General features: G+C 40.9%; 1 long non-coding RNA gene and 1 pseudogene across 2 annotated transcripts in view, besides 9 other annotated features; both read left to right on the top strand.

The window, feature by feature from the left end:
• Positions 1–26,859, top strand: part of FIRRE (firre intergenic repeating RNA element) — a 139,119-nt gene that overhangs the window by 1,329 nt on the left and 110,931 nt on the right. Inside the window, exons 2-3 of one of the 2 annotated variants that reach the window (NR_026975.2) lie at positions 3,950–4,093; positions 24,278–24,343. This is a non-coding gene — a long non-coding RNA (firre intergenic repeating RNA element). The remainder of the gene's footprint in view (positions 1–3,949; positions 4,094–24,277; positions 24,344–26,859) is intronic. The other variant, NR_152876.1, reaches the window with a different exon arrangement.
• Positions 2,753–3,253: an enhancer, noted in NCBI's record as "H3K4me1 hESC enhancer chrX:130960090-130960590 (GRCh37/hg19 assembly coordinates)". NCBI's record gives its function as "activates a minimal SCP1, AML or CMV promoter by ChIP-STARR-seq in naive H9 embryonic stem cells {active_cell/tissue: H9 hESC(naive)}" and the evidence as "EXISTENCE:reporter gene assay evidence [ECO:0000049][PMID:30033119]".
• Positions 6,957–7,196: an enhancer, noted in NCBI's record as "active region_29967". NCBI's record gives its function as "activates an Ori minimal core promoter by ATAC-STARR-seq in GM12878 lymphoblastoid cells {active_cell/tissue: GM12878}" and the evidence as "EXISTENCE:reporter gene assay evidence [ECO:0000049][PMID:35858748]".
• Positions 7,357–7,446: an enhancer, noted in NCBI's record as "active region_29966". NCBI's record gives its function as "activates an Ori minimal core promoter by ATAC-STARR-seq in GM12878 lymphoblastoid cells {active_cell/tissue: GM12878}" and the evidence as "EXISTENCE:reporter gene assay evidence [ECO:0000049][PMID:35858748]".
• Positions 11,681–11,740: a silencer, noted in NCBI's record as "silent region_21002". NCBI's record gives its function as "represses an Ori minimal core promoter by ATAC-STARR-seq in GM12878 lymphoblastoid cells {active_cell/tissue: GM12878}" and the evidence as "EXISTENCE:reporter gene assay evidence [ECO:0000049][PMID:35858748]".
• Positions 12,180–12,474: an enhancer, noted in NCBI's record as "tiled region #13107; HepG2 Activating non-DNase unmatched - State 24:Quies, and K562 Activating DNase matched - State 9:DNaseU". NCBI's record gives its function as "activates a minimal TATA promoter and a strong SV40 promoter by Sharpr-MPRA in HepG2 and K562 cells {active_cell/tissue: HepG2 | K562}" and the evidence as "EXISTENCE:reporter gene assay evidence [ECO:0000049][PMID:27701403]".
• Positions 15,985–16,254: an enhancer, noted in NCBI's record as "active region_29965". NCBI's record gives its function as "activates an Ori minimal core promoter by ATAC-STARR-seq in GM12878 lymphoblastoid cells {active_cell/tissue: GM12878}" and the evidence as "EXISTENCE:reporter gene assay evidence [ECO:0000049][PMID:35858748]".
• Positions 25,246–25,746: an enhancer, noted in NCBI's record as "H3K4me1 hESC enhancer chrX:130937597-130938097 (GRCh37/hg19 assembly coordinates)". NCBI's record gives its function as "activates a minimal SCP1, AML or CMV promoter by ChIP-STARR-seq in primed H9 embryonic stem cells {active_cell/tissue: H9 hESC(primed)}" and the evidence as "EXISTENCE:reporter gene assay evidence [ECO:0000049][PMID:30033119]".
• Positions 25,559–26,186, top strand: PNKDP1 (PNKD pseudogene 1; annotated as a pseudogene).
• Positions 25,747–26,247: an enhancer, noted in NCBI's record as "H3K4me1 hESC enhancer chrX:130937096-130937596 (GRCh37/hg19 assembly coordinates)". NCBI's record gives its function as "activates a minimal SCP1, AML or CMV promoter by ChIP-STARR-seq in primed H9 embryonic stem cells {active_cell/tissue: H9 hESC(primed)}" and the evidence as "EXISTENCE:reporter gene assay evidence [ECO:0000049][PMID:30033119]".
• Positions 26,149–26,198: a silencer, noted in NCBI's record as "silent region_21001". NCBI's record gives its function as "represses an Ori minimal core promoter by ATAC-STARR-seq in GM12878 lymphoblastoid cells {active_cell/tissue: GM12878}" and the evidence as "EXISTENCE:reporter gene assay evidence [ECO:0000049][PMID:35858748]".

Genomic DNA, 26,859 nt, shown 5'->3' with positions numbered 1-26,859 from the left:
TTTTATTATCTAAAATCCAGGTCTTGCAAATATTTCATGACAATTTCAGTTACCCAGGAATGAGCAGTGAAAAGTTTGCATCTAAAACATGATGCATATATAAATTTAATTTAAATATGCTTATTGTAGTGTATTACCGTAAATATAGACCTCTGTGCATGTTGAAATAATGGGAGTAAATATGCAAAAGGCTATTAGTGTTTAATACAAGATTTTATGACAGTGCTTTTGTTCTTGATCAGCACATGGTTATTTTCTAAATTCTTTACAAGCACCATGTCTTAATTACTTATGAGGAAACACCATAAGACTGATTCCTAAGCTTAAGCAGTGGCACACACATATATAATAAAGCCATAGGAAGCCATTAAAAGTCAAATAATGATGTGCATGGGAACTTGCTTGTGTTTTAATGTTGAATGATGGAACCATAAGACAAAATCATGTTCCTTTCTACTGGAATTTTGTAAGTTTGGAGTGTGTGTGTCACCCCAAGAGGGATATTGTATGGAATTCAGCCTTGAGATCTATCTGGACCCTCCTATTAGGGTTCTGACATGGCTGCCCCCAACTCAATACACAAGACCTAGTGCCCAGGTCAGAAAATGGAGGACTCCCAGGGAACCTGGCAGTGAAACAAGTCACATGGCCTGGTGCCTAGATTTGTTCTTCTCTAGGCTGTTATTTCCATTATTTTCTTCACTTTCTTAGCCCTAGGTCCCTAAGAATTTCCCACTGAAGCAGATAACTTGGGAAATTGTTGGGGATCAAGGTTGAATGAAGAAGAGCAGACCTACAAAGCTATGGTAGAGTGGAAATGGGCATTTTTTTGTTTTTTTAAATTTTATTATTATTATACTTTAAGTTTTAGGGTACATGTGCACAATGAGCAGGTTAGTTACATATGTATACATGTGCCATGCTGGTGTGCTGCACCCATTAACTCGTCATTTAGCATTAGGTATATCTCCTAATGCTATCGGAAATGGGATTCTTTAAACAAAGTATGGCTGATGAAACTGGGTGGTATAGGCTTCAGTCTGAGTTCAGAGGGAAACCAGGAGCAAAAGTAAATTCGAAAGAGCAGATTTTCCCCAAACAGGGCCAATAGCAAGGCAGCTTTGTTTCCTGTCTCCTTTGTCTTGGTAGCTTTTTTCAGATTGAATGGGTGAGAGGAGAAGGGCTCTGGGGGTGGGGTGCCCAGGCAAGGCTAATCAGCTTTTCCAGAGCAATACTGCCATCAAGAGGATGTAGTTTGACAAAACACAAACCCAAAGTTGTTAGAGCCCCCCCAAGTTTTAGCAACTGAGAAATGTTGGGCCTTTTGTGAGGTTGAGTGGACCCTAGCCCTAAGTAGGTCCCCTTCACTTTAAATCTGAAGCCTTCCAGGAGCTCTGGACAAAGGCAGGATCCTGGGGGAGAAGCTGATAAGTGGGGGGTCAGGGGGAGGACTGAAGGGACAGCTACTAGGCAGGTGGAGTATAGGAAGTATTGGGGCTTAGATATCTACCCAGTGAGGGTGGGGCTAAAACAAATGGCTCAGATCCTATTTGGGGGGACTTCTGGCCACATATCCTCTGGCCATGCCCTTTGAACAATGAGGTAGGGGGTTGGCACAAGGTGTAAGCAATGTTAGGGTGCAGATGAAACATCTCATTCCAGATGATATCTAACAGCAGCCAGCGTGCTTTCTGGGGGTCTCAAGGATACCTAAAAGTCTGGTGCCCCCATTGCCTAGAGCAAGGAAGACCTGAGGAGAAGGCAGTGTGTGTCACTTGGCCAAGCCAATAAATCCTTGAACATCAATAGGAGTGCAGATATACACAACCAGAAGACCTGGAAGTATTTTCTGAAGCCAGGAGGTAACAGCTACCATGGCTTTGCAGCACTTTTTCTAGGGCCCAGTGTGAAGGCCTACCTATTTAGAGAAACCTACTCTTAGCTCTATTAAAGGAACAGAAATGAGTTCTTTAGCTATTGGCCTTCCCCTAAGGAAGATGAGGCCATTGAGACTTGGGACCTAACTGTTCATTCAGATTAGCAAGTATTGTTCTCTGTGCCTGCTTCTTAGCCTTTTTCTAATGAAGATTCCTTGTAAGCCCTCTAAAAGCTGAGCACATCAGGACCCTCAGGACACTTGCCCATAGCATAGCAAGAAAAGGCAAAAATTTTGTAAGATTGACTGCATGTGAGAGTTTTCTCGTGTATCAGTGATGGATTCAGTGGCTGACCACTTACAGAAGAGAAAGGAATGTTATTCTCATGCACTGCTGTAACATATGGTCACCACCTGAATTCTACTTGCCCAGGGTGGAGCTATAACATCTACTAGGAAGTTTTTAGCAACTACTACAAAGACCATAGGGTCCCTGGGGAAATTGACTTTCCTGCTATTCATGCCTTGGTCTAGCTGTCCTTGAGGATGTTATAGGTTGACATGAGCCAAGAAGGGTTTGAAAACATTTGAGAAAGCATGTCTCAATGGTCTCAAATACCTTATGAAAGTGTAAGGTGACCTCTGACCTTTTCAGCCTACTTCAGCTAAGCAGGTGACTGAGAGAAACCCTGCATCAGATGGGTTAGGCTGCCTGCTGTTGAGTCACAGTTTGACTTGACCATATGCTAGACTAGGAAAGCCAGATGTGTGGAGACAGTGCACCATAACTTAACTTAGAATTGTGAGTGACAGAGAGGTAGCCCCAGCCCTAGAATTCCTCAGGGTCAGGAATTTTGTATTCCCACACATTTTGGTTTACATTAAGAGACTATCTGGTCAGAGAGTGGATAGAGGCCTAAAGCAGCAGCAACTTGCTGAGTCCCAGGAATTCAAACGTGACACCGTGACCAGGAATGGGAGATTATAACTATTGCCAACTCTCAATACCACTCAATCATTGACAGTCAGCTCAGATCAAAAGCTGTTTCAAAATGTAGTTAAAAAGAAAACCACTCAGCAGGAAAGATGGCAAAGGAATAAGGCACCTCTATTATCACAGTCTCAAATTCACCAGTACTGAAGTAAATTGCAGTTCACTGTATTCTTCCATAATGCCCTTAAATCTTCATCATAACCCCGAGCAAGCCTTTGAAAAGGAATCCATTGATGTCAGTGTTTGTGTAATGATTTGTAGAATTGGACAAGGTCCTACCAGGTGAGAAGCACTGTTAATTGGTACACCTCTTTGAAGGTCAACAGGCCAAATCATTTAACCTTTCACATGAGCATACCCTTTGTCCAGAGACTACCTCTTGAAAGTGATCGCACAGCCAAACTCCCACAGGAAAGTAGAAAGGAGAGGACAAAGAGGATCGCTGAGATTTCTTTTGCAAGGATGGCGGTGGGGAGGGGGCAAAACATCCATTGTCCAAGTTCAACTACAGTAAGTTCAGCTATAGTAGGTAGTCTTTTTAAGCCTTTGGAAAGATTGAAATCCATTCGCCAAGTCCTCAATAGGGGAGATGACCACACCTCTGATTTAGGGAAGAAAATGTGAAATGTTGTAACGGGAATCAAACCATTCTGGTTGGCTAATAGCAAGGAAATAGAAATGAAAGATGAAGTCTTTCTTTCTCTCTTAATTACATATGTTATTAATTCAAGTTGAACACATAAACCTATTGGTTCAGAAAAGCAAATAGGCAGAAAGGAAGTTATCTGGAAAGTTCCCCAGTCAAGCAACTAACAGTGTGTAATTTTCTACAGTGATGTTTCTAATGACTTGCCTTCACGTTTTAACTTACACTTGTCCAAAGCCTTGAAATGTTGAAAATGAGAAAAGCTTACATTTGCAAGTTTTTTAAAAATCAAGAAACCAGCATCATCTCAATATATAATTAGGAAAACAACATATTACAAGATGTATTTTTCTTTAAAACATACACACTTCTACACACATGCAAGATTTAAAGGCTCTATTCTGAAATTCTATTTCCAAATTTTACTTAACAGAAAATCCAGCTTTCTGAAGCATATTTCACGACATATGATGAGACTTATGTGATGTGAGACCTGAGAAAACTATGATAGAAAGAAGCAACTCAAGTTGCAAGGATATTCCTCATGTATCATGCAAGGATATTCCTCATATATCATGTAAGTAAAAAGTCACCAAATCCTGACAACCTGTCCACATGTGCCCACACATGTACAATTATATAATAAAAAGAGCAGAATGCAATATAACAAACATCAATGGAATATCTATTAAACTTCTTAAGAGTATCATTTCTTTACTGCTATATATTTGTTCCACTTACTGATTTTTTTCCAGATGCATATAATTCTTACGGTTTGATCAACAGTAAAAGAATGCTATGAGATTTAACCATAAAAAACTATCTTGTTCCTCAAGAAAAGTTAATGATATTGGAGAGTACTCATTTTCTAGTGTTGAATTGAGAATTCAGGGCACCAAATTCTATGTGTAGTGGGACCAATGAGGATGGATTTGAAGAAAAGAAATGGAAGTGTGTGTGTGTGTGTGTGTGTGTGTGTGTGTGTGTGTGTGTGCGCGCGCGCGCGCGCCTAGCATTGTGCTGAGGAATGTGGGGAGTATATTAATGAGATATAGATTAAATTTATTTCACTGAATAACATCAGTTCTTATTGAACAGTTATATATCATTTTTTTAATGTTTAAACCAATATACTCATCAAGCTGCTAATAGTGGATGCCTCAAAAAAGTGGGATTTGTGATAAAGTGTTTCCATTTGTTCTTCATAGATTGTGTATTCTAAGAGATTTTTCAAGAAGCTGATAAGATATTTGTAATTTGAGAGTCAACCCAGAACAAATATGTGCAGAAGAAATTGTTGGTGAAAACTTGATTTGTTGGCTATTTGAGACCTAATATATTTATATATTTAACTGATCACAGAAAACAGGTGTATTCAAGACACCCACATTTTAAAAATCCTTATCTGCTTCAGTGGGCATTACTTGTGGCCTCACTGCACTTCTTTGTACAAGGCTAATGTGTCTGGTTATTTTGTAAACAGGTATGCTTAATTTTAGGAAATGCAAAAATATGAGAAGCAACCTTAAAAATATTGCATATTCCAAGGAGTAGTTAATGATGTTTCCAAAGACCTCAAACTGTCCTGAGAAAAGCATGTCTGACATACAAGGTAACTGGGATTTTAGGTTAAAAAATGTACATTATATATGGATAGGGAAGATAAGAGAATGTATGGCAAAGACATTTTAAAAGTTATTTCTTCTAGTTTTCATTGAGATACCATTTATTTTTGGCTTTGTAATTTCTTAAAATATGAGCAGATTTCCAACAGCAGATGTTACCTTTATAATTCCTTCGAAGAGAAACCTCCTTGTACAATCAAGTATAAAGAAATTTCCAGCTAGGGAAAATAGATGTTGATATATGGAAACATGCAATTTATGTAAGTTGGTGCAGAAGACTTTGTATAAAACTATGCCCAGTATAAGTCAAGTTATAATTAAGGTGAAATAAATGTGCACATATATGTATAGCAATATTATATATTATATATGCCATATTTAAACTATAATAAATGGAGCAATAAGAAACATTTTTGTTTGTTTGTTTGTTTGTTTTTTGAGACGAAGTCTCGTTCTGTAGCCCAGGCTGGAGTGCAGTGGCGTGATCTCAGCTCACGGCAACTTCCGGCCTCCTGGGTTCAAGTGGTTCTTCTGCCTCAGCCTCCAGAGTAGCTGGGATTACAGGCGCGCGCCACTGCACCGGGCTAATTTTTTGTATTTTTAGTAGAGACGGGATTTCACCATGTTGGCCAGGCTGGTCTTGAACTCCCGACCTCAGGTAATCAGCCCGCCTCGGCCTCCCAAAGTGCTAGGATTACAGGCGTGAGCCACTGCGCCCAGCCAAGAAACATTTTTTTGCAGTGTTTTGATTACTAAACATGAAGACAAAAATTTTATGTAATGTGGCCAAACTGTCTGAGAATCAGGAGTGGCAATCTCCTAGGCAAACCATCATGTACAAACAACCAATTTTAATATAAATTCATTGTCACATATGAACATAAATATAAAACTCTGTGTGTATTGAAAGGAGTAAGAGGACATGATCCAAAAAGTTATCAGTGGTCTTAATCAATTTTATGACAGCGCTTTACTCTTTATCAGTGCATGGTTATTTCTGAATCCTTGGCAAACATCATGTCTTAATTACTAATGAGGAAGTGGTTTTAAGGCTTATCTCTAAGAGATAAATGGTAAATACAGATATAAAGATAAATACACACACACACACACACACACACACACACATGTCCCTACATATCCAATAAAGTGGTAGGAAGCAATTGGAGACCACTTAATGGCATCGGAAAGTGTCTTCAAATGGTAAATGAAATCACAAGACAAAACTCTTGGAATGGGAGCTACTTGGGCGCTTCTCTTAAGACTCCAGCCAAATGGCTGCCAACAAGTCAACACATAAGACTTAGATCTCTATCCTGAAAATATAGAATTCCTTGGGAGCCTTACAGATGGATGAGCCAGGCAAGGACATGTGGTTTGGTACTTAGAGATAACCTCCCGGCCTTGAGTTTGTAGCATTTTCTTTTTCTGCTTAGGCCTGGATTCTTGAGTCTTGAATCCAGAAGCAGACAACGTGATAACTTGGGAAAATACTGGAGATGTATGCTGAGTGAGCGAGAACACAACTGTGAAAGCTAAACCTATTGGAAATGCAGTTCTTAAAAAGAGAAGGCCTCAGTTTCGTTTCAAATGGAAACCAAAAGCAACAGTGCAGCAGCGTGATAAGATTGTCCCAAACTGGGCAAAAGTAAGGCTGCCATGTTTCCTGGCGCCTTTTTCTTGCTGGTGTTTTTTTGGACAGAAAGGGCGGGAGAAGGACTAGGGAGCGGTACTTGTTGGCATATCTGGAGCACGACTGCCATCGTGAGGAAATAGTTTTAAAATACCCTACGCCATTACAGCGTCCGTCCCGTGAGGTCTTTCGGTTTAGAAACGCCCGTTCAGCGGAGAGATTGAACAGGCCCTGACCCGAAATTGGGCTTCCCTGACTTCTCTGAATTATTCCGGGAGCTCTGGGCAAAGACTTGATGCTAATATGACAAAGGTGATATCCAAGTGTAAAAACCTGTTGTTGGCGAGGCCGGACAGAGCCAACAGCTGCCAGAAGTCCGGGCACAGGAAGTTGTCGGGTGGGGCTTCCGTTGAGGAAAACTTTCAGGGCCCAGTGCAGGGCTTGTGCCCATTGTCTCCTGTTCCTGCCCCTGTCCCTCAGAAGATGGTTCAGGCCAATTCACCTTGTTCTGGAGCCATAGAACCTGAGCTCCTTGTGATAGCAGCATCACAGCTCATAAAATAGGCTAATTTGAGGAGATAACTTATAACAGCATTTGTGCTTGCTGGGGGATCTCATACACAGCAAAAGTCTGGACCCCATTGCCTTAGAGCAAGGAGGGAAATGAAGAAGCATTGGGAGCCATCCCGCCGAGCCAAAAAAGGCCAAATCTCCTGCTTAGAGAGCAGAGGCATACACTAAGAGGCCAAAAAATGTTACACCTATAGCCAAGGCCTGTCCCCTAATAGAGTTTTGCCGTCATCTCAGGTCTCTTGGTGGGGTTGGTGGGGAAGAAGGAAGGAGTGCTCATCTCTTTATTTGTTCTCCCAGAGGATGCTGAACTCCTTGAAGTCTAGTGATTCTCCTCATACATAACAATTGTTCTTCTCTGTTACTTCTTCATAAAAAGCTCCAGATGAGGATACCTGGTAAGCCTGACAACCCATACTTCTTGTTCCCAAGTTGGTGGAGAATGTCTAGAATTACTTGGGATTCATTGCATAATGGAGAAACATTCTGGCGCCCTCTTCTACTTTCCTCACTCAGTTAGCATTTGACCTCATAGAGTAGTTGAAGATGATTTTTTGTATGTGTGTTTGCGCGTAAGCGTCCTGTGACTAAAAAATTTAAAACTTTCTGTTTCTGTCGTATTTAAACCAACGGCAAAATTGGTAAAGGAATTAAACAGGCAATTTACAAAAGAAGAACTCCAGCTGTTTATTAAATAAATGAAAAGATACTCAATTTTACTAGTGTTTACGACGTTCCAATTACCTACACACATTGTGTTTATGTATATACTGTGTTAGTTTATAAATATATGCACCAATATTTGCACATATTCCTATATCTATGCACACATACCTGTTATATATATATATTTATATGTACTATGTATATATGCATGCACATTAAGTTATATACAATTTTACAAATATAGAGATATATATAAAGACATGTATGTGTAAATGTGTGTGTGTGCACAATTAAAATAATTCTATTCACTTAAATATTATATTCAATTACATATTAATTATTTCAGTTAAATATTATAACTGATATTATAGTAAATAAATATAACTGAATTATATTAAGTTAAATATTAAATAATTCTATTCAGTTAAATGATTCTATTCAATTAAATATCCTATTTAGTATTCTTTTATCCCCAAGGCTTAGAACAGTGCCCGGAACTTGGCAGCAACTAGATAAATATTGGTTAAAGGAATGTATGATTTCCTCTACATATTGAGAGATCTGAGATGATAAACACCAAAGTGCAAATAGTAGTTACTGTACTACCACATACTGTTTATGAATGGGTGCTCATGCCTCTTTTTTAAAAAACATTTTTCACATGAAAGGATGCTTTATAAAAGATAAGAAACATCTATTGTTTTAATATATTTAAAAATACAATTCCAGATTATTAAGTATCATCAATAGTAAGAGTCTTTTTTTTTTTTTGAGACAGAGTCTTGCTCTCTCGCCCAGGCTGGAGTGCAGTGGTGTGATCTTGGCCCACTGCAACGTCTGCCTCCCAGGTTCAAGCAATCCTCCCACCTCAGCTTCCCAAGTAGCTGGGATTACAGACATGTGCCACCATGCCTGGCTTATTTTATTTTATTTTATTTTATTTTTTGAGATGGAGTCTCGCTCTGTCGCCAGGCTGGAGTGCAGTGGTGCAATCTCGGCTCACTGCAACCTCCACCTCCCAGGGGTTCAAGCGATTCTGCTGCCTCAGCCTCCAGAGTAGCTGGGACTACAGGCGCGTGCCACCACACCCAGCTAATTTTTGTATTTTTAGGAGAGACAGGGTTTCACCATGTTGGCCAAGCTGGTTTGAACTCCTGGCCTCAAGTGATCCACCCGCCTTGGCCTCCCAAAGTGCTGGGGCACCAGGCATAGGGGAAACTGGACACATTGGAGGAGGTCAGAAAATTTTGAGATAAATTTTGCGAGGAAAATTAAATTGATCAAGATCCGTAATATGAATGAGACTCCTGAGAGATATTTTAGTCAACTTGAATATGTGTGTGTTTGAATGAACTATGAGTACACAGACCATCAAATGAAATGACTAGTAAATTATTCTAGGGGACAGAGACTAGAGGAAAGATGTCCAGAAAAAGAAAAGCAAACACAATTTAGTACATGGATCATCTCAAGATATTTACATTGTCATAGTATTGTATGCATTAAACATTGACACAAGCAATTATAGCTACATTGGGAGGATGGGAAGAAAGGATGGATGTTAAGTGAAGTAGTAATATTGATATTAGTGAAGTGTAGTGAGGGCAAAGAAAGTGAAATATTCTTCTAGAAGGAAGAGTATATATTATGAATGTATGGGTTAGTTTATAAATTGGTAATATGGGCATTCTATTTAGGGATACATAAGCTAGTAAAAACTTATTCGCTAAGAGTGTTAAAAGTGTTTCAATCAGCCGGGCGCGGTGGCTCACGCCTGTAATCCCAGCACTTTAGGAGGCCGAGGCAGGCAGATCACGAGGTCAGAAGATCGAAACCATCCTGTCTAACACGGTGAAACCCCGTCTGTACTAAAAATACAAAAAATTAGCCAGGTGTGGTGGTGGGTGCCTGTAGTCCCAGCTACTCAGGAGGCTGAGGCAGAAGAATGGCGTGAATCCGGGAGGCGGAGCTTGCAGTGAGCCGAGATAGCACCACTGCACTCCAGCCTGGGTGATAGAGTGAGACTCCGTCTTAAAAAAAAAAAAAAGTGTTTCAATATCGGAGGAATGTCAGAGATGGCATAATGTTGTTTGTAAAGTATTGTACAAATAACTGATGTTGAAAAATGTGTTCATGTATAATTTTGACTTAAAATCTTTAAAAACTGTATCTATCTATCTCTCTATCCATCCATCCATCCTTGTGGTATATAGGCAGAATACTAAGATGATTCCATCTCCCTGTATAATTCCTTAAGTATGAGTGGGACCTGTGAATATGATAGATTATCACTTCTCTGATTCCTTTATATTATATGGCAAAAATGATAGGGTCTCAAAAGGGAGATTACCCTGGGGGGGCCTGATCTAATCAGGACAGGAAAAGAGGGCCTGGTGGTCTGAGATCTTCTCTTTTGCTAGCCTCAAAGAAGTAAGCAATTATGAGTTCTATAGCTGCAACAAAATGAATTCTGCCAACAACCACATGAGCTTCCCAGAGGATCTTGAGCCTCAGATGAGTCCCCAGCCCTAACCGACACCTTGATCGCAGCCTTGAGCTGAGTACCTACCTGAACTATGCCCAGACTCCTGACTCACAGAAACTGAGATAAAAAAAATGTATGTCGTTTTAAGCTATTAAGTTTGAAGTAATTTGTTACATAGCAAGAGATAATAAATACAATGCTTACACACAGGGAAGAAAAAAAAAAAAGAAAACCTAGTAAGGACTGAAAGTTTGTGTTACCTCGAAATTCATATGTGAAAGTCTTAACCCACAGTGCGATGGTATTTGGAAATGAGACTTTTGGGAAGTAGTTAGGTTTAGATGAGGTCATAAGGGTGGAGCCTGCATTATGATTAGTGCCCCTATAAGGAGATGAAGGGACAGAGGTTTCTCACTTTGCCTTGTGAGCAACAGGAAGATGTCCATCTGCACACCTGGAAGAGGACCCTAGCCAGGAACTGAATTGGCTGCCACCATGATCTTGGGCTTCCCAGCCTCCAGAACTGTAAGAAATACATATAGTTTGTTTAAAAATCTATGATGCTTTTATGGCAGCCCTCCCTGACTAAAACATCTAGAATCAAGTATGGAGAAATATTAAAACTGGTTTCCTCTAAGAAAATAATGTAGGAGATTCAGTTTACAAACTTTAAAGAACGTATATTGACTATTGTTTTGTTAAGGAAAATAAAATAGTAAAATGCAAACCTGTGAATTCAGTGTAATGACATAAGTGAAAAAGGAGTGTGTGTGTGTTTGTGTGTGTGTGTGTGTGTTTGGACTTCCACATTTAGCATTGTAAGAAGTGTATTGATAATTACAAAGACAAATTGGTCACATGACAGATGTACTGAATAACTATATGTTTTTAAGTGTATGAAAAAATAGATACACCAAAGTGCAAAGAAAAGTTACATCTGAAAACTGGTTTTAGATAAGAACTCACCTTTTTGTTTAATACATTTCTTCATTAAGAGTTTCCTAAGAACAGGCTAGGCCCAGTGGTTCATGCCTGTAAATCCAGCACTTTGGGAGGCTGAGGTGGGAGGATCACTTGAGGTCAGGAGTTCAAGACCAGCCTGGCCAACATGGTAAAACCCCATCTCTACTAAAAACACAAAAATTAGTCAGGCGTGGTGGCGGGTTCCTGTAGTCACAGCTACTTGGGAGGCTGAAGCATGAGAATCGCTTGGACCCAGGAAGTGGAGTTTGCAGTGAGCCGAGATTGCACCACTGCACTGCAGCCTGGGAGACAGAGTGAAAGACTCCGTCTCGAAAATAAATAAATAAATATAAAGGTACATTTGGTATGTCACATATGACATGTCAAACCAATGAGAGCTATATAGGCTATAAGAAAATAATCTCAGGAATTCGGCCAAATAACAGCCTTCCACCAAACAAAAAGATTAGTGTCTGCTACAAAATGGAGGAAGATTCCCTGGTAACCTAGAAAGCTGCGTCAAGGACCATGATGCCAGGTGACTAGAGATGACCTTTTCCAGGCCTGGAACTTACGGCGTTTTCTTCTCCCATTTCATCCTGGAATCCTGAGTCTTGTTCAACTTTAAGAAGTCAACTTAATAAATTGAGAAAATGCTGAAGAACTAATGTTGAGAGAAGAAGAGCTGAACTGTGAAGCCAAAGATCTGGTGGAAATTTAATGCTGGAAAACGGAAGAGCCTGACCAGGGCGGGGTGGTTAAGGACTCATTTTGATTTAAGATGGAAATAGAAAGCAAAAGCACAGTGGTGTGAACAAGTTTCCTCAAACTGGGCAAGAATTGAAACAGTTTTGTTTCCATGTGCTTTTGTCTTTTGTTGGCGTTTTTTCATACTCGATGGGCGGGAGAAGAGGCCCTGGGGACAGGGCTGGTTGACATTTCTGGAGCACTACTGCCATCGTGAGGAAATCAGTTGATGAAAATCCAAGCCATGAACAATTCCTCCCAAAAAACCAGGATGTCAAGGAAGGTTGCACCTGTGGGGAAGTTGGGACGGCTTCTGGCCTCAAGCGTGATGTCCTTGCCTTCATCTCTCAGACCTTCTAGAATCTGTGGACAAAGGTGTGATATAGTTGTAGAAGTGGCCAGAACTGACCGGGGAGTAGGCAGGAAATTCATGCATAGGAAGTCCTGGAGGTGGGGCTTTTGTGTCCTCCCAGTACAGGAAGAACTAGAGGAAGCAGTTTACTGCTAAGTGCAGGGCTTCTGATCATTTGCCTCCTGCCCCTGCTCCTTGTTGTAGAGGCAGACAGTCTGGGACACAGTCCTCTAGCACACTGGGGCCTGGGATATGAGCCCCATTTGGCAGTAGTGTTGGAGCTCAGAGTACAGGGGGAAAATTCCCACTATTTATTGTAGAGCATATATTGAAGAATGCATTCAGAGCTGAGAGGCAATAGATAACTGACAAGAAGGGTCAATAACTCTCAGGAGTGTCTTGGAGACATGTGGTAAAGCATCCCTTAATGATCCCAGATGTCTTGTGAAGGTGAGAGGTCATTGCTGATCTCCTGATCTCACTTAAAACAGCCGAAAGAGAAGGCCTGAACTAGATGGGTTAGCGTGCCTGCCTTGGAGCTGCATTTTGACTAGGTCGTATGTTTGAAGTAGGGTAGACAAATGTGTTGAGACAGAACTGTGGATGGCACTAGCAGTGGCCTCAGCTCAGGAATTCCTCAGGCTCAAGAATGTTGTGCTCACCTCACCTGGCTATACTTAATAGAGGCTAACAGGCCTGATTGCCGATGGAAACAATTTCATTGTTTCAGGCATAATAAAAATAACAGCAAAAACAGGAAACTACAAGCAATTGTTTGTCAGTATTTACTGCCCTTCAACCATTGACATCCATTACAGATCATTAGCTATTCCAAGATGAAAAGTTAAAGAGAAACAATTCAGCAAGGAAAGAGAAAAGGAACCAGGCACAAACTTCGCAGAAGAAAAAGGCCATGGAACAACAAAGTCCATTGGCAGAGGTTCTCAAATTCACCAATACTCAAGTAAATTACAGTATGACAAAGTCTCAACCATTCCCCACCTCTTCAAAATATCCCTAAGTAAGTTACTGAACATGAAACCACTGATAACACCTAGTTTGTGTGAACATTTGTAGAATTGGACAAGTTCCCGTGAGGTGGGAAGCATTGTCAATTGGTTTAACTATTTGGTGGGCAATATGTGTGCATCACTTAACCTTTCACATGAGCACACTCTTTGTCCAGAGTCAAGGTCACATTCCCATAGGAGACAGGAGTGCAGAGATGAGTAGGTTCATTCAGCTTTCCTCTGCAATGTCAGAGAGTGGGGAGGAGCAAAGGGCCTATTCTCTAGTAGATTGACTCCACATGTTTCAGCTATACCAGGTAGTCCTCTTAAGTCCTTGAAAAGACTGAATTCCATTCTCAGTGTCCACATCAGTAAAGATATTCCACCTCTTTGATTAGGGGTTAAAGCAAATTATTGACTCTTTGGGATCAAACCATCCTAGTTTACTAATACAAGAAAACAAGCCAAGTGCGGTGGCTCACACCTGTAATCCCAGCACTTTGGGAGGCTGAGGCAGGCAGATCACGAGTTCAGGAGACCGAGACTATCCTGGCTAACATGGTGAAACCCCGTCTCTACTAAAAATACAAAAAATTAGCTGTGCATGGTGGCGGGTGCCTGTAGTCCCAGCTACTCGGGAGGCTGAGGCAGAAGAATGGCGTGAACCTGGAAGGCGGAGCTTGCAGTGAGTCGAGATCCCGCCGCTGCACTCCAGCCTGGGCGACAAAGCAAGACTCCGTCTCAAAAAAAAAAAAAAAAAAAAAGAGAAAACAAAGGAAAAAATAAAGTCTATCTCTCTCTACTTATTCCATGTATGACTACTGTAAGTTGAGTGCATATATATGAATTCTAAAGAATGAATTTGCAGTCTTCTAACGAAGATACTCATTGTGTCTACCTTCCTGGAGTAATTATTTTAAGGCCATGCCCTCAAGTATTAACGTTATACATGTCTCCACGTTTGAAATAGTAACAAGCAAAGTTTACATTGGAAATCAAGAAACAAAGGTATACCTTTCAGGTTTTAAAATAGCCTTCAGTGTAAGAATCAGTTTCTCTGAAAATTATACATTGCTCTGTTTACATATGGAAATTTTAAAAAATCACTTTTTATGGTGAAGAAAACAAAAATCTTTGGGCAAATTTATAAGTAACACAAAATCCAACCATCCGAAGGATATTTAATGACCCATGCGGTGGCCTTATAATAAAAGGGAAAAGGAAAAGGAAAAATTTCAAAACCCAAGGAGATCTGCAAACTATGGGGAAGCCTAAAGTCATACCAACAAACCCATGAGTGTCACACATACACGTACTCATGCAAATATTCAAATGGAATAGATTTAGAAGAGAGCAGAAGAAAGAATATCAAAATACTCATGCTTGTTTTCATGGACTGCTCAGCATTTTCTCTAAAGGATCATGTACAGAGATCATCCCTGGTACGAAAGAGTGGTACTAAAGAGGCAAGTTTTCTGGGGGTCCTGATGTACTCAACTCCCTGAAGGATATCTTGTCAGGCCTACAAGGAATCTTCATCAGAAAAAGGCTAAGGAGCAGGCACAGAGAACAATACTTGCTAATCTTAATGAACAGTTAGATCCTGAGCCTTAAAAGCCTCATCTTCCTTAGAAGAAAGCTAAAGAAACCATTTCTGTCCCATTAAGAGAGATGAAATGAGAGCAGATCCCTCCACGTGGGTATGCCTTCACAATGGACCCTAGAAAAAAATGCTGCAAAGCCACTACAGCTGTTAACTCCTGGGCTCAGAGAATACCTCCAGGCCTTCTGGTTGTGTATATCTGCACTCTTATTGATGTTCTGGAATTTATTGACTTGGCACAGTGACACATGCTCCTTTTCCTCAGATCCTTCTTGCTCTAGGCAACAGAGGCACCAGACTTTTGGTGTCCCTGAGACCTCCAGCTGCTGTTAGATGCCACCTCGAATGAGATTCATTTCCCCCTCCTCACATTCTAACGTTGCTAACATTGGGGCCCATACCCCAAAGTACAGGGATATCTTGTGCCAGCCCAAATGTCTCATGGTCTAAGGGGCAGGGTCAGGAGACCAATGCCCAGAAGCTGTGTGTAGACTGTAGTTTTTCCATAGTCCTGCCCACAGTGAGAGGAAACCAAAGCCCTGCATCAGTCCTGGTACCTTACTTAGCAGCTTCTTCACTGAGATTTTGCCTTTGTCCAGACTGAACTCCTGGAAAGCCTAAGAGTTGAAGTTGAGAAGGCCCATCTTGGGGTCAGGCCCTGTTGAACCTTTGAATTTGCTACATCTTTCTTAACTGCTAGATAGGAGGGAAGTTCAAACCCGAAGCTTTTGCTTTTGTCAAACTACTTCCTCGCGATGGCAGTATGGGCCCAGAAAAGCCAACTAACCCTGCCCCCAGGCCTTCTTCTCCCTCCCATTCCATCTGAAAAAAACCACCACTAACAGGCAAAGCCACCAGGAAATATGGCTACCTTGTGTCTTGCCCAGTTTGAAGAAACTTGCTCACACCGCTGCGCTTTTGCTTTTGCTTTCCATATACAATCAAACTGAAGCCTAAAACCACCCACTCTCATTAGGCATCTTTTCTTTTCAGTAATTCAGTTTCCTCTACTACAGCTTCATAGATCTCCTCATCGGTCACCATTAGATATGCAGGATTTTCCCCATTTTCAAGTTTTCTGATACAAGGTTCAAGTCCCAAGGAGTCCGTGCATGAGGAAAAGATATTGCTGGAACTCCAAAGCTTGTATGAGGCTTGGCTATCTGTCTCCATCAGACGTTGTGGTCTTTGACCTGGCTCATTTCCCAGGCTCTTATGGCGTACTCCATTTTCTGGCTCACATATTTTAGAAAGTAACCAAAATGGCATCCTTCTTTTTAAATGTCTTTCCAGATGGAGAACTCACTAATAAATATTTCAGTTGCTCAAACTTGATGTTCAAAATAAATACTCATATTTAGCTATTATCATTTAAAGACATCAGAGTTAAGCTGTTCCATAGGTTTTGAACTAATATGTTAAAACATTATCAACTTTATCGTATGACCTTTTCTTACACTTTTATATTTTTATGCCTCATATATTCATGTTTTAATTTTCACATACACGATGCTTTGAATGAATAAAGAAACAACACATTTTAAATAATTAATTGGGCAGTTAGGTAGAGAATGTACATTGTGTATCCTCCTTAGATAATTGTATAATTTATTGTCCAAGTTGGACAACTGTGTGAACCGTGACTTCCTAAGGCACACTGAAAGGAATGTTCACCCTATTTATCATTCCACAGTCTTGAGACAAACACTGATCACATCTTTATGCTTTATTTACCTAAATATATTGATAATTTTTTTTTTTTGAGATGGAGTTTCGCTCTTGTTGCCCAGGCTGGAGTGCAATGGCACAATCTCAGCTCACCGCAACCTCCGCCTCCCAGGTTCAAGCGATTCTCCTGCCTCAGCCTCCCTAGTAGCTGGGATTACAGGCATGTGCCACCACACTCGGCTAATTTCGTATTTTTTTTTAGTAGAGATGGGGTTTCCCCATGTTGGTCAGGCTGGTCTCAAACTCCCGACCTTAGATGATCTGCCCGTCTCGGCCTCCCAAAGTGCTGGGATTACAGGCATGAGCCACCGTGCCCGGCCTTTTTTTTCTATTTTTGAGACAGAGCCTTGCTCTGCCACCCAGGCTAGAGAGCAGTGACGCAATTTCGGCTCACTGCAACCTCTTGCTTCCTGGGTTCAAGTGATTCTCCTGCCTCAGCCTCCCAAGTAGCTGGGATTACAGGCGTGTGCCACCGTGACCAGCTAATTTTTATATTTTTAGTAGAGACGGAGTTTCGCCATGCTGGCCAGGCTGATCTCGAACTCCTGACCTCAGGTGATTGGCCCGCCTTGGCCTCCCAAAGTGCTGGGAGTACAGGTGTGAGCCAGTGCGCCTGGCCGATAAATTTTAATTTGTATATACACATACATGTTTACAAAAATTGGGCATTGTCCTGCATATTTTTTCTTTTATACTTTTTCTCTTGGTTATAGTATGAGCATTTTGACAGTTGTACTTTAGTTATCCAAAAGTATAATTTAAAAATATGAAAATAGCTATTTATTTATAAGAAATAGAAATATTTTTATTTATATAAATATTTATAAGTAGAAATATTTAAAATTAAAAGTAATAGACTCAATACAGAATATTTAGAAAATATGGAATTCAGATAAGTGAACACAAAATGACCTATCGTATTACTATAATCTGTATGTATTTTTTCTTTAAACACCAATTGCATAATAGCGTATGTTGGATTTTTTTCCCTGATATTTCTATTTTCTCCTCTTTAATCCACTCTTCATTTTTCTCTACTTCTCTGTGTATCAAATGGCTAATCTGTATGGACTATGTAATCTGGCTGTTTTGCTCTATGTCCTGGTTATGTTCTCCTATAAAGGATTCTGGCAGGATTTCAGGAGTAGGTTAGGTATTTATTTAATCAGATCTATGGTTTTGACTCCATCCCTTAGCCAAATACCACTATCTTAACAGTATCTAGGAGGAGTAATTGAAATATTTGGCAAACAGCCTTAACGAATACCCATATACCCATAAATATAGTTAAACAACGTCGGCATTTTTAAAAATTAAAACATTAGAACCTGAATGTGACTGTATATTTCTACATTCCCAACTCTAATTTATCTTTTTTTTTCTGAGCCAAAGGGGTCCTTGGGCCTATAGGTAGCTAGGGATAAGTGGGGTCTTTATGGGAATTTCTCCCTTGAGCTGCTCGCCAGGCTGGAGTGCAGTGACGCTATCTCAGCTCACTGCAACCTCTGCCTCCTGGGTTCAAGCAATTCTTCTGCCTCAGCCTCCTGAGTAGCTGGGACTACAGGCGCATGCCACCAAGCCCAGCTAATTTTTGTATTTGTTTTAGTAGAGAAGGGGTTTCACCACATTGGCAGGATGGTCTTGATCTCTTGACCTCGTGATCCTCCCGCCTCACCCTCCCAAAGTGCTGGGATTACAGGCGCGAGCCACCACACCTGGCCAGAATTTTTAAAGCTTGCAATGAAAAGGAACAGATTGTGGAAAGGGCTTGGCCTGATAAACAGGTGGACTAATAATTGGAAGGTCAACTGAGTCGGACTTATTTTTGCCAGTTGTTCCCCTATGCCAAGAATACAAGATAGAACTGAATTTGTTACCTGAGTCCTCCCTGGACCTGAGACTTGGAGAATGCAAGAAAACCAATAAAAGTTGGGAGGCTTCCTCAAAGTGCCTTGGAAGTGAGCTGACAGTTTGCCTAATCTAGATCTTAAGAATGTGAATTCTGAAGCCTGACTAATCCGATTTTAAAATTTGTTTCTAACTATTCTTCTGTGACTTTGCATAAGGTATTTAAACTTTCTTTGCAGCTGGGCACGATGGCTCATGCCTGTAATCCCAGCGCTTTGGGAGGCTGAGGCGGGCGGATCACAAAGTCAGGAGTTCGAGACCAGCCTGACCAACAAGGTGAAACTCCGTCTCTACTAAAAACACAAAAGAAAATTAGCTGGGCATGGTGGCAGTTGCCTGTAACCTCAGCTACTCAGGAGGCTAAGGAAGGAGAATCGCTTGAACCCAAGGAGAATCGCTTGAACCCAGGAGGCGGAGGTTGCAGTGAGCAGAGACCACACCACTGCACTCCAGCCTGGGCAACAGATCAAGACTGTGTCGCAAAAAAACAAAACAAAACAAAACAAAAAAAAACAAATACAAAAAAAACTTTATTTGCTATCTGTCCTCGTTAAGTAAGTGGCTAGAATCATACTACTTACATTAGAAGGATGTTGTAAAGAATAAATATATGAATTTGTATTCAGATCCTTAGAATATTCCCTGGTATGTGGTTAAGTGTTCGATATTTGTTAGCTATTGTCCTTGATGGTGGTATTCCAGTAGCTGACAGGAGTAAAGAACACTTTATACTCTACCACTTGTGGAATTTCAGCTACTTGTTACTTAATAACTCCAACAAAATAAATTGTAGCCCACTTAAGAGGCATAAGCAGCCTTAGGCCCCTAACAGCCTCTGAACAAGCCAACCTTTGAATCAGCAAATACAGTAGCTAGATGAGAAAAATGACAACTTGAATTAAAAAACAAATATGAAATTATTAAGATTCAGATGCCTCCCAAAAGCCTTTATTTAGGAAAATGCTAAACCATTAGGAAAAGTTTTGAAAGGGAGATCAACTGACATTGAATGACAGGCTAGAAGGATCAACTGCATAACATATCTCAAAACAAAGGAAAAAATAAAGCAATGGGAAAAATAAGGAAAAGTTAATAACCTTAAAGATCTAAGGTTTTAACATATTACTAAAAGATGTTACAATAGGGAAAAAACAGAATAAACAAGGCAAAATTTAAGGCAACAAGTAGAAGAAAACTTCCCACAATTGAAGAAGGCCCAGATTGTAGAGTCTCACTGTGGTATAGAACGGAATAAAGATATGCACTAAGCATATGTTGGTAAAATACTAGAATTATTAAAAAGTCACCTTATAATCTTCCCAGGTAAAAATTAAAACTTACAAAAGAAATATTGGAATGAGACTCCATTCTGACTTCTCTGCAACACTGGCAAACAAGTATCAATGGAATAACATCTATAGACTATTAGGAGAGAGAGAATACAACATAACCGTTGTGTGTCTCCAGCCAAGAAATTATTCATCAGTCAGGCTGAACAGAAGTTCCTTGTGCATATGGAAACCTTCAGATAATATATCATCCACATATCCTGTATAAGGATAATACTTGAATAAATATCTAGCCATGGCCGGGCGCGGTGGCTCACGCCTGTAATCCCAGCACTTTGGGAGGCTGAGGCAGGTGGGCCACCTGAGGTCAGGAGTTCGAGAGCAGCCTGGCCAACATGGTGAAACCCCGTCTCTACTAAAACTACAAAAATTAGCCTGGCATGGTGGTGGGCGCCTGTAATCCCAGCTACTCGGGAGGCTGAGGCAGGAGAATCGCTTGAAACTGGAAGGCAGAGGTGGCAGTGAGCCGAGATCTCGCCATTGCACTCCAGCCCAGGTGACAGAACAACATTCTGCCTCAAAAAAAAAGAAAAAAAAGAAATCTAGCCAAATGAATATTCCAGAAAAGAGAACTGAAGTGGATGAAGAAGGAGAAACAGGAATAAAGACCTTACACTCTTCATAAATGGAAGACATAAGCACTCTAAATAGTCATAATTGAGGGACTATACTGCAAAGGACATAACATGAGTACAGAATAAAAATATTAAAGAATTTTAACAAATCTTTTAAGTGGGGAAAATATAAAAGGACGAATTGGAATACATATTTTAATGGACACAACATCTTGGGTTAGTTTTGAGGAAGAATATTAGGTACCTTGAGCTAAGAAATAGTGTGCTTTGGGGGACTTTATAGTACTTTGTTTCGGGCAACATTAGAAAAATATGTGGCTATTGGTAGACATGGAGAAATGAAGGTAACTATTAATGGAAATTAACAATTGGTAAAAAGATATAATCAACAACTCAAACATCAGAAATGAAGTGGAAAAAAAAGTAATAAACATAATGTAGGAAGGCAGGAATAAAGTTAAGTGTTTTCTTCATTACAGTAAACGTGAGTGGACACAATTATCTCCTCAAAAGACAGAAGTCATTATATTGGGCTAAAATACAAAACGCAAAACAATAACAAAAACAACCCTATACAGTGCTTTTAAAAATTAAGTCACTTAAAGCCAAGAATTATAGGAAGTTTTGAAAATTAAGGTTGGGGCAAATAAATATCATACCAAAGGAAAGTAGCAGTACCAATATTAATATCAGAGAAATGCGCTTTTGAAGTGAAAAGCACTAAAACATAAAAAGACGGACATTTTGCAATGATAAATAGAGTAGTACTGAACCAATAAATCAATTGTCATAGAACTGATACCTTTATGATACTGCATTTTCCTATGTTTGATCATGGTGTCTGCATTTATTTCAATCTTCTTTACTATTACTTAGTAATTTTTTTTTTTTTGAGACAGGGTTTCGCTCTTGTTGCCCAGGCTAGAGTGCAATGCCATGATCTCGGCTCACCGCAACCTCCACCTCCCGGGTTCAAGCGATTCTCCTGCCTCAGCCTCCCGAGTAGATGGGATTACAGGCATGTGCCACCACGCCTGGCTAATTTTGTATTTTTAGTAGAGATGGGGTTTCTCCATGTTGGTCAGGCTAGTCTCGAACTCCCGACCTCAGGTGATCTGCCTGCCTAGTCCTCCCAAAGTGCTGGGATTACAGGAATGAGCGACTGTGCCCGGCCTACTTAGCAATTTTATATGATTTTCAAATGAAAAGTCTTACACATCTTTTATTCCTAGTTAATTTATTTTTGTTTGTTTTTTTGAGACGGAGTTTCATTCTTGTTGCCCCAGTGCAATGGCGCGATCTCAGCTCACTGCAACCTCCGCCTCCCGGATTCAAGTGATTCTCTTGCCTCAGCCTCCCAAGTAACTGGGATAACAGATGCCTGCCACCACACCTGGCCAATTTTTTTGTATTTTTAGTAGAGACAGGGTTTCCCCATGTTGACCAGGCTGATCTCGAACTCCTGACCTCAGGTCATCCACCCACCTCGGCCTCTCAAAGTGCTGGGATTACAGGCGTGAGCCACCGAGCCCGGCCTATCCCTAGTTCGTTTATAGTTATTGATGCTATTGCACATGGTGTCTTCTTTAAATTTATGTTTTCTAATGCCCTTTGCTATATAGAAATACAGTTTACTTTTATATATTGATCTTATGCCCAGTTTGATGTATTCTCTTATTTTACACATGTATAAAATTATACAATATATATCACATTTTACTTTTCTTCTTTTCTAATCCTGTTTTCATTTCATTTTTCTTTTTTCATTGCCTTCAGGACTCTTTTTGGTAGAATTGCTATAATTGAGTAGCCTTCTATTATTCATGGCTGTGAAAGGAATTCTTTAGCTATTTTCCCATTAAGCATTATGTTAGATGTAGGTTTTTGTAGATATCTCTACTAAATTGAACATGAAAACGTCCTAAATTCTCCTCCTAGGGTGAATGTGAATTTTCAGTTCCTTTTCCAGGAAAAAGGTGGACTCTTTTTCCCTATTTCTTGAATCTGGGCTGTCTTTGTGACTTGATTTAGTTAATAAAATTCTGAAGTCATGGTGTGTCAGCTCTGAGTCTCACAAGACTTGTGTGCTTCCACTTTTCCTTGCAAACCTGCTACCAGTGTATGAATATGCTCAGGCTGGCCTGTTGCAGGATGGGGAGGAGAGACCAGCAGTCTCTACAGTGAATTTACCCCCAAACATGTAAGAGATAGCATTAGCAGAGCTGCCAACCTGACCCAGTGCTGATGCCAGATGCTTGACAATCCAGGCAAGACCATGATAACAACAACACAGTATATTTGTAGATTCTTTTTTTTTTTTTTTTTTTTTTTGAGACAGAGTGTTGCTCTGTCGCCCAGGCTGGAGTGCAGTGGCATGATCTTGGCTCACTGCAATCTGTGCTTCCCAGTTTCAAGCAAATCTCCTGCCTCAGCCTCCCGAGTAGCTGGGACTACAGGAGCATGCCACCACGCCCAGCTAATTTTTGTAATTTTAGTAGTGACAGGGTTTCACCACGTTGGCCAGGCTGTCTCGAACTCCTGACCTCAGGTGATCTGCCTACCTCAGCCTCCCAAAGTGCTGGAATTACAGGCGTGAGCCACCGCACTTGGCCTTACTTGTAGATTTTTTAGTTATGATAAGTGCTTGTTTTTTAAGCCACTGAGTTAAAAAATAGTTTTTCACAGAGCAATGATTAAATGATATAATAACCAGATTATGGAAGTTCCTTTATATTCGTGGCTTCCTAAAAGTTTATATTGTAAGTGCTGTTGAATTTACCAAATATTTTTATTTTTCTGCATCGAGATGACCATATACTTTTCTCCTTTATTTGGAAAAGTGGTGTATGACATTTAGTCCTTTTGCACTGTTTTAACTCCCTTTCAGTCATGAGATAAATCCAAGTTGATCATAGTTTATTGTCTTTTACAGAACTATGGATTAAATATGCTCATATCTTTCAATTTTTAAGTCTTCACTTATAATTGAAGTGAGTTTGTATTTTTCTCTTCAGTCACAATCTATGTTTGATTTAGGTACCAATGTTATAAAAGTTGCTCAGAATATGTTGGGAAGTAATTCATCTCTATTTCCCCTCTAAAATATTTTGAATAAGATTGGAATCATCTTTTGCTTAAAAATTTATAAAACCGGACGGCATGGTGGCTCCTGCCTGTAATCCCAGCACTTTGGGAGGCCCAGGCGGGCGGATCACCTGAAGTCAGGAGTTCGAGACCAGCCTGGCCAACATGGCGAAACCCCATCTCTACTAAAAACACAAAAATTAGCTAGGCATGGTGGCATGCACCTGTAATCCAGCTACTTGGGAGGCTGAGGCAGGAGAATCACTTGAACCCAGGAGGTGGAGGTTGCAGTGAGCCGGGATCGCACCATTGCACTCCAGCCTGGGCACAAAGAGTGAAACTCCATCTTAAAAAAAAGAAAAAGAATTCATAGAACCAACCTGTAACCATGTGGGATAAGTGCTTGTGTTAAAGGAAAATCCCTAAGTGTGTTTTATTTTTTAATCGTTATACTTCCCTTCAGGCTTTTTCTATCTTCTGCTCTTTGCCACCTGTGAGGTCCCTGAAAATGAAGGCCAATACTACCCAGGTAAGCAAATACCCAAAAGGCCAAAAAGACTGGGTAATCTGGTGTTCCCGTTAATTCTCTCTATTAGAGTTTTAATCTGAGACTTTCTCTTTTGTGAATTCTTTGACACTTTTAAGGAGAATTTTGTATTTCGTCCTATATATTTTGTTTCCATTGGAGAGATATGGAGGAGAAATGGTCCAAATATTATAGCCAACCATAAACAAAAACTGAATTACTCCTAAATCTATTTAACAAGTTGAAATATGACTAAGCTGTTCAGTAATATTTGTCATTTATTTCAATGAATATTTTCCTTAACTTTCTGAGGAAACTAAGTAACTAATTTCAAATGAGAAGAAATACAATGACAACAAACAAAAATAAAGTGAAATAAATTAATGATATGAGAAAGTGCTTGTGTTCCCAGGTTAAAAGATGAAATCATGAGACAACCTTTTAGTAACTTCTGATAGGGGTTTATACGTATTTATATATGTATACTACTCAAAGTGGGCATTTATGGCATGAAGTGATGAGCGGTATCTAAGCCTTCCTCTTAGGGCTCCAAGCAAACAGTTGCCTCTCATTTTACAGAGTCTAACCCCGTAAATGGAGAAAGACTCCTTGAGGGCATGAATATTGACAAAGGCTATCTCCTTGACCAAATTGTAGATAGGCTCCTCTGAGCCCTCTTTTTAACAGCTCATTCTTGAGTCCTGTCTTTGGCTTGCCTAGTCCAGTTTTAATAAGAATCTTAACTCAGTTTGGCAAGAATTCCCCTACCCTTGATGTCTCCTCTCTGTGATGTTCCATGCACTGACCCCCCTCACTCTGCTCCTTGACTATAAATCTCCAGCTGTCTTTGCTATGCTCAGAATGGAGACTGATCTATTTCTCACCTATTGCAATGTCCCTATTGCAGTAGTCTTGAATAGTCTTCCTTATCACTTTAACAGGTGCTGGAATAATTTTCTCTTTAACAATAGCAAGCCAAGTTAAGGAACATGTGGCCTGCTGCCTAGAAATGCCCCAATCCTGCCCTTAATTTTTCAAAATTGTCGTCTTCCTCCTAGGCCTAGCTCCTTGAGACTTGCCCCTAGACGTAAACAATTTGATCATGTAGGGAAAATGCTTGAGATGTAAAACTGAGTTAAGAGCAGAACTGCAAAGACTAGGTTAAGTGGAAATTGAGTTCTTGAAAGATAATATTGCCTGATAAAAGTGGGTGGTTTAGGGTGGGATCTGAACATGGCGGTGGTGGTAGCTGCTAAGGCGCTGAAGGGCCGGGGGGATGGAGGGCAAGAAATGCCCGCGTCCTCCGGGGGATTCTCGCAGGAGCCACAGCTAACAAGGCTTCCCATAACAGGACCCAGGCACTGCAAACCCACAGCTCCCAAGAAGGCAGGGAGGAACCTGAACTCCTATCCCCCGAGATGTAATACATTCCCAGAAAGAGGGGCAAGAACCCCATGAAAGCTGTGGGACTGGCCTGGGCCATCGGCTTCCCTTGTGGTATCCTTCTCTTCATCCTCACCAAGCAGGAAGTGGACAAGGACCGTGTGAAACAGATGAGGGCTCGGCAGAACATGCGGGTGTCCAACACTGGCGAGTATGAGAGCCAGAGGTTCAGGGCCTCCTCCCAACGTGCCCCGTCCACTGTTGTTGGGTCTGGACTGCAGACCTGAGGAACCATGCAACTCTCCTAAACTATTGACTGTGAAGTCCTCAGGTTTGGCCGGGATTCCAGTTCTTGCCTCTGAGGTCCACCAGAGGGCGCACGAAGCCCGGGCTGCTGCCAACCCCTACCCCGCCCCAAACCCAGGAGCCAACCAAAGGCAAATAAAGTTATTGAGTGTTTAGTGGGGGGTGGGGGGGGAAAGTGGGTAGTTTAGGCCCTGGTTTGATTTAAGATGGAAACAAAGGCAAAATTCCAGCAGTATGAGCAGGTCGCCCCAAACTGGGCAAAATGCAAGGCAGCCATGTTTGGTGGCGCCTTTATCTCTGAGTGGCGTTTTTTCACACAGGAAGGGCGGGAGAAGAGTGCCCCAAGGCAGGTTTCCTTGAAAATATGCAGCACTACTGCCCCTGTGAGGAAATCATTTAAAGACAGAATACGCCATTACAGCGTTCTTCCCTTGAGGCCCAGCTGTTGGGGAAGGTCTGGTCTGTGGGTAGGTGGAAGAGGCTGGGGCTTCATGCTGAGCCTCCTTGCCTTCTCCTCTAAGGCCTTAACAGAGAGACCTGGACATTGGTGGTATCTTGGTATAAAACCTGGAGAGTGAGGGGCTTGGAGTGAACCATCAGCTGCCAGGCGGTACTGGCACAGAAGTCGTGGGGCGGGGCCTCACTTCCTCCTGGTGTGGTCAGGACTTGAGGGACCCACTCAAACACAAATGCAAGCTCTTTGGGCATCTGTCTCCTATTCCTGCCCCTTGGAGCAAGAGTTAGCAGGCTTTCACGTGGTACCACCATCCTATGATGAAGGCCTTATTATATACAAGGACTCCTCAAAGAAGCTATGGGACGTTGGTTTC

The sequence above is a fragment of the Homo sapiens genome, chromosome X, assembly GCF_000001405.40.
Source record: "Homo sapiens chromosome X, GRCh38.p14 Primary Assembly".
Lineage (NCBI taxonomy): Eukaryota > Metazoa > Chordata > Mammalia > Primates > Hominidae > Homo > Homo sapiens.
The sequence above is the reverse complement of the archived record's forward strand: the minus strand, read 5'-3'. Positions and strand labels throughout refer to the sequence as shown.